This window comes from Homo sapiens, chromosome 5 (genome assembly GCF_000001405.40).
Source record: "Homo sapiens chromosome 5, GRCh38.p14 Primary Assembly".
Classification (NCBI taxonomy): Eukaryota; Metazoa; Chordata; class Mammalia; order Primates; family Hominidae; genus Homo; species Homo sapiens.
The window spans coordinates 6,270,953-6,277,451 of NC_000005.10; the positions used below are offsets into that span (position 1 = coordinate 6,270,953).

At 46.5% G+C, this 6,499-nt stretch overlaps 1 annotated feature.

The window, feature by feature from the left end:
- Positions 3,957-4,066: an enhancer, noted in NCBI's record as "active region_22328". NCBI's record gives its function as "activates an Ori minimal core promoter by ATAC-STARR-seq in GM12878 lymphoblastoid cells {active_cell/tissue: GM12878}" and the evidence as "EXISTENCE:reporter gene assay evidence [ECO:0000049][PMID:35858748]".

Consider the following 6,499-nt stretch of genomic DNA (forward strand, 5'->3'; position numbering starts at 1 on the left):
CTTGATTTTTCCTTGGGGTTGGCAGTCAGCACTTGGAAGGTTGGGTGCACTGTGTTTACTGAAGTTGTGCACATGCTCATTAGAGGCATTTTTCCCTTATCAATTGGGTGTTCCTAAAGGAAGGTCATATACTGATTAAACTCTGCCATTTTGCCTCTTAGGGTGCATGCTTGAGTGCACTTGCCTAACTCCTGAGATCTTATTGGGAAGTTGCTGATCACCAGCTTCAGGTATTTTCTATCTATTGGGAGACTGCCTTTCCTTGGTGCTGGCTACAACCAATTATTATTTTAGAATTCATCAAATTATTGGTCACAACTAGCAATTTTGTAGAGGATAGACTGGGACAGGATAGGAAATATTAAAATGCATCTGTAGCAAGAGCAAGTACTGTGATGTAAAGATTTTGTTTGAGTTTTTGAGTGTACCAGATTATAATAGAAAAAGTGTTGTTTTGCTAGAGGCCATGGTCAAAGACCACTGCCTATCACGTGCTTTTTCTGAAAGCTAAGCTTTTACTAAGCTGACTGATACACTTTCTTTCTCAGTCTGGTGGGAAAACACACCACATTGAGTGGATGGTATGGAGAAAAGCTATGATGGAAGTAATGGCACAGCTTAGATGCCCCTCCATGAAAGGACTTGTTGGCCCAGCTGCTGGCAGACAACTTTCATCTGCTCCTTCAGGGATGGATACAGCTATAGCAACTGATACGGTTTGGCTGTGTCCCCACCCAAATCTCAGCTTGAATGTTATCTCCCAGAATTCCCACGTGTTGTAGGGACCCAGGTGGAAGTAATTGAATCATGGGGGCCAGTCTTTCCCTTGCTATTCTTGTGATAGTGAATAAGTCTCACGAGATCTGATGGGCTTATCAGGGCTTTCCACTTTTGCTTCTTCCTCATTTTTCTCTTGCTGCTGCCATGTAAGAAGTGCCTTTCACCTCCCACCATGATTCTGAGGCCACCCCAGCTACGTAGAACTGTAAGTCCAATTAAACCTCTTTCTTCTCCCAGTTTTGGGTATGTCTTTTTCACCAGTGTGAAAGCAAACTAATACAGGAACATTCCTCACCCAAGAGCATGCCTTTTCTAGAAGAGGCTCACACCTAGTGCCTGGTCAAGGCAGGGTTATGAACGACTGGCTAAGTCGGGACAACTCTGATGGGCCAGTTAGCTTCAGAGCCTCTTGGAGGTGACTGAGATCACCATCAGGCCTGTGTCAGAGCCCAACTTCTCCTTCTGCCCAGTGTTGCTTCCTTCCCCCTTCCCCAGCTGGTGATCCTGCAGGCCCTTCCTAGCACACACCATGTGCAAACTGTCTTCCTGAGAACCCAACCAGCATCTGGAGCAGCAGACATGGGAGTGCACTGCTCAGACACCAGCCCTAGAGCCCCAGTGGCTGCCTGAAGAAGATCCAGGTGAGTTTCTTGCAGCCCCAACTTATTTAACCCCAGCAGCAATCTCACAAATGTGGCCTGATGCAGCACTCCACCTAGTGCAAGCCCAGCAAACAAAGGCACTTGTCTAAGATGAAAATAACTTTGCACCACAGCCCAGTTGCTTCTAATAATGGTACCAGGTGGGAGAGATTTCTCTCATCACCTGTAGCCCAGAATATGGGTATGTGCCATGGTGGCTGGAAACGGGCGCTCCTCTGCTCCTGACACACTCCCCACAGATGTCCCATTGTGACAACGTAGGCAGGGTCCTTGGAAATTTGTTTCATTCTTTATTACACAAATGGAGACGTGTAGAAACAATTTAAATCTTTAATTCCCATATTAGCCAGCCACATAAGGGAAGAAACACGTGTGAAAGATTACAACATATAGAGGCCCTGGCTCCCAGGCTGTGCTATTCTTCAAGAATGACATCAGTAAACAGAAGCCAGCAGTTTCTTCCATCTCAATTGCAAAGAGCTGAGGTTAGAGACACGTCCATTTTGGGAATATACCTTGAGTAAAAGTGATGTATCCTTATGTGACACATAGAGATGTTGTATTTGTATAGACTGTTATAGCTTCAGCCACATTTGGAAAGAAACACGTGATAAACACCATGATATTGAATTTTTTGTGCAATTAGTTTTCCATGATGAGAAAAGTCTTGTATGCCAATCAATATTGAGCATGTAGGAAATATAGCACAACAGATACTATTCCTACGTATCATTCATATTATACAACTCCCATAGAGTAGCTATAAAGAGCATCAAACAGACAGCATATGCTGAAGTGCCTCAGGAACTGAAAAACAGACAACAAACGTGAGTTCTGTCAGAGAGTGCTTAGGAGTGGGGAAAATCCCTATGCCTTGAAAGCGCAGCACAGTCGTGATATGGCAAAGCTAGGGTAGCCCTTCCATTTGCATATATTATTCTGTTGATGCCACATATGTCTCACGTCCTATTTTCAAAGTCCCCAGAGAAGGAAATAACCTCCTATATACTTAGCAACACCCAACGCTATGAGCCTTGTGGCAACCACACGAAAAATCCAATCCTGCAAATGCTGATTGAGAAACTGCGCAGAAAAAGCTAGGCGTGCTGCCTAATGGAAGTAAGTACACAGGAAAACCCAAAGTAGGGAAGGGGGCACCTCCCCACCTCAACCGGGGACAAATGACATCTTTTCAGGAAAATGTTTATAGCTTAGTGAATAACAAAGTCTTTAGTAAGGTGCTTATAGAATGAGTTCCATTTCAATGAGCAGAGACAAGAGGCTACATTTTAAGGAAAACACCCAGATTAAGCACAGCAAAGGAGAAAGCAAGCCCAGGAAAGCTGGTCTGAATGGCGGGGTGATGGCCGGGCTTGGCAACAGGACCGAACAGCTGGTCTGGAATCACATGGGAGAGGCCTGGCTCTTGCCTGCTAAGGATTTTGAACCAAGGAGGGCACAGGAGAGGTACTGAAGGGTTGTGATCAATAACCTGATGTGATGACTTAAGACTGTCAGAATGGAGAATTAATTGGAGTGAGCCTAGCCTGGGAGAGAGAAACAAAATGAACCATAAGGACAAGTCATAAGCAGGTGTGATTAGGATGGGGCCTGACAAGCGGTGTGAGGTCATGAAGGAGCTGTGGGTCAAGTAGGTTGTGAGGCAGCTGTGGAAAGAGGGAGACAGGTTTGAGAGAGGCTGAGAAAGCAGAATCTACAAGGTTCATCCATGCACTGGATTTGGGGATCCCCCAAAAAATGAGGGAAGCTATTTTGAATGGGGAGGGGCCAGCCTATCCAAGCACCACATCTGCCTTCCAGGACTCAGCGTTGACAGTGGCGGGTCCAGCTTTCCCCAGCAGCCGTACAAAGACTGTTCTAGCATCATTTTCTCCTTCAGAGCCTGAGCCTCAGCTCTCTGTCACCGACGTCACTTAAGGGCTTTTTTTTAAATCAAGGTTCCCGGAACCCACTCATTATCTAAAAATGGACCCATTGTACAAAGACAGACAAAAGTGTTTGCCAAAAGCATGAGCTGGGGGTATTGTCCTGGAGGCAGCTGGAATGGGATCATAATTCAGTAAGCAAAGCCCTAATTCACCATACAGTGTTCTCTCCTGCAAAACCACATAGGCAGAAGAAGTTGTGGTCAGGACTCTCCCTTGCATAGTGGGAGTGGTCTGCACCCCTGGCCCAAGCCACCAAATCCCAGAAGCTGCCTCAGTAGTGATGAAAACAAAAACCACCTCCTACCTTTCTGGATACCTCCTAGGAGAGCAATACATTTCCAGGGGAATCCTAGACACATACAAAAGCAAGGGCAGTGACCCAGAAGGCAGCCGGCTTTGTCCATTGCTGTCCAAAAGAAAGGCCCAGAATGTAAAGGACACACATTTTTTTGCCACTGTAGAAGAGAACAATTGATGGTCCATCAGGACTCTTTGGAACTGTGTGGGCAGAATTCTAAAATGACCAGCAATGATCCAAATGCCCCCTTGTGGAAACTCCCCACCCCCACAACCTCCTTAGTGTGGGCAGAACCTGCAAACATGCCGGGACATCACTCAAGTGTTGAGGTCATGTTTTGTGGCACAGTTGGCTTTAAGTGAGGGGGATGGTCCTTGCAGGTTTTACCTCATTAGGGGAGCCCCTAAAAGGGTGTGGCTCTCCCTGGAGAAAGATGTTCAGAGTTGAAGGGAATTTGATGCAAGGGAAATTCCCCACTGCTGCCTTTGAAGACAGAGAGGTCATGGAGCAAGAAAAGGGGTGGCTTCTAGCCACTGAGAATGGCCCCCACATGACAGCCTGAGACAGAATGGAGACCTCCATCCTACACCACAAAGAATTGAATTCTGCCATCAACTTCAATGAGCTCAGAAACAGACTGTTACCCAGAACTTCCAGATAACACAGCAGCCAAGCCAACAGCTTGGTTTCACTCTCATGAGATCCCAAGGTGAAAGATCAATTAAGCCATGCTTGGACTTCTGACCTACAGAACTATGTGATAATAGGTGGGTGCTGTTTCAAACTGCCAAGTCTTTGATGATTTGCTGTGCAGCAATAGAAAACTAAAATAAACGTCTTGATGAATGTTCCTTAAGACAATTGAACTCCTTTTGCTGGAATTATTTTTATTATAATAACTTCTTATCAATTATTTTTATTATTATTTGGCTTCTCAAATATCTGAATCTGGATCCTCTTTGTTTAAGTATGAGCAACAAGTCAACTGAGGAAAGGTAGTGCTTACAGAGGTGTGGGCAGAGTTAAGAGAAACTGACAAAGGAGGATGCAGCTCCAGGGAGACCCTGACAACCCTAGACCCAAAAGGGAAAGGGGAGATGTGCTTCCCAGGACCCAGAGAGAGCAGCTGCATGGAAAGAAACTGTGGACTTCAGTGCAGAAATTCACCATGGCACTGGGACCTCATGAGTGGGAACTGACAGACCATCCTTCAGCGCCTCTGGCGAAACCCAATAGGAAGGCAGACGGCCAGAGAACCCAGGAGAACTGGGCCACGTGAGTCAGTCTTCTCCAGCACACAGCAGGTAGAGGAGGGCGGAGAGAGGAGATGGAAAGGCAAATAAAAATCTTCAGCACCAAGGAGATACGGATTCCAAAAATTGCCCTAAATTGGAGCAGTCAGAGCTTGTGAGACTTCTGGCCTCTAGAAGGAGAGATCGTCAATAAGGAAATTGACTGAGCCAGTCACAGTTGTAATTCTTTTTGAGCTTGGACAGCCTTGGGCAAGGGCAGGGTAGAAGCCTGGGCCCCAGCAACATAAATGCCAGGAGAATGCACAGCTGAAAGTCATGCCACTGTCTCTGTGCAGCTGCTGTCAGTGAGTGAGCCACAGGAGAGAAGTGACACTTGAGGTGAGCTTGCAGACACAGGAGGGAGAAAGATATTCAATAGACAGGGGACAGTGTGGACAAAGGCATGAAGTAGGCATGTTCACTCAAAGCCAGTGTGACAAGAAAAAAAAAAACTGCACATGTTCATGTGTGGGCCTGTGTGCACGTGTGTGCCTCAGTGGGAAGTGGACTAAATTTAGATTAGGGTGAGGCCAGATGGTGCTGTAAGCTCACATTATAAAACAGAAGCAATTTAATAAAATGCCTGCAATATAAAGATTCCACAGATTTAAATATAAACCCTCTCACTTTACAGGGCTTGGATCAGCAACATGGCTGGTAGCTTTCTGTGGCTTTTTGGATCTTTGCATAGCTCTTTCATGAAGATCGTCACTCTAATGCCCCCTTTAATGGAATCTCCAGTAACTGCTTGATCAAAATGATCCCTCTCCCATTCTCAGCCCCTTTTCATCATATGACCCCACGTTAGCCCACTCTTTGGAATCAGATGGATTGCTTATTCACTTGTTTATTTTGTGTGCTAGAATCGTCATCTTCCTGAGAGCAGTCACCTTTGCTGCGATATTCATCTCCCAGTTCTTATCACAGAGCTGGCAGGGCAAGAAGAAATGTCAGCCTTGCACCACTCAGACAACACAGGGCTGCCTAGCAAGAGGCCAGGCTGTTCATCTCTGCCCTGATGAGAAAGGAGAGGAGCCAAGAAGCAGAGAGACAATACTGAAAGAAGCCCTGCTTTCTTCCTCAAAAGAGCAACCCCTGGCCCACCCCAACAGAGAAGAAAGAGAGGAGAGCTGAGAATCTGAAGGGGAGAATGGCTGCTGGAAGCTGAAGCACCAACCCCAGCCCCACAGTAATTCCCATCCCGTGATGGCGCGGGATCCATTTGTCCTCAGGATTCCAGCAGACAAAGCACCCTACCCAGCTGTCTCCAGGCGGCAGGGAAATGATGGGTGCTCAGCTCTCACCACCTAGCCACACTTGCCTTTTCCTCCACCCTGCCACCCAGCCTTGGCTCCAGCTTGAGCATGGCAACTCTTGCCCCCTCTACATTCCCATCCATCCTCCACAAAGTGGTCTTTCTGAGTATGTCTCTTATCACGCCACTCTTTGTTTAAGAAAACAAAATTCTAGCTGGGGCAGGGAAAAAAATAAGACAAGGCTGCAGTGTTTTGTGGTGCC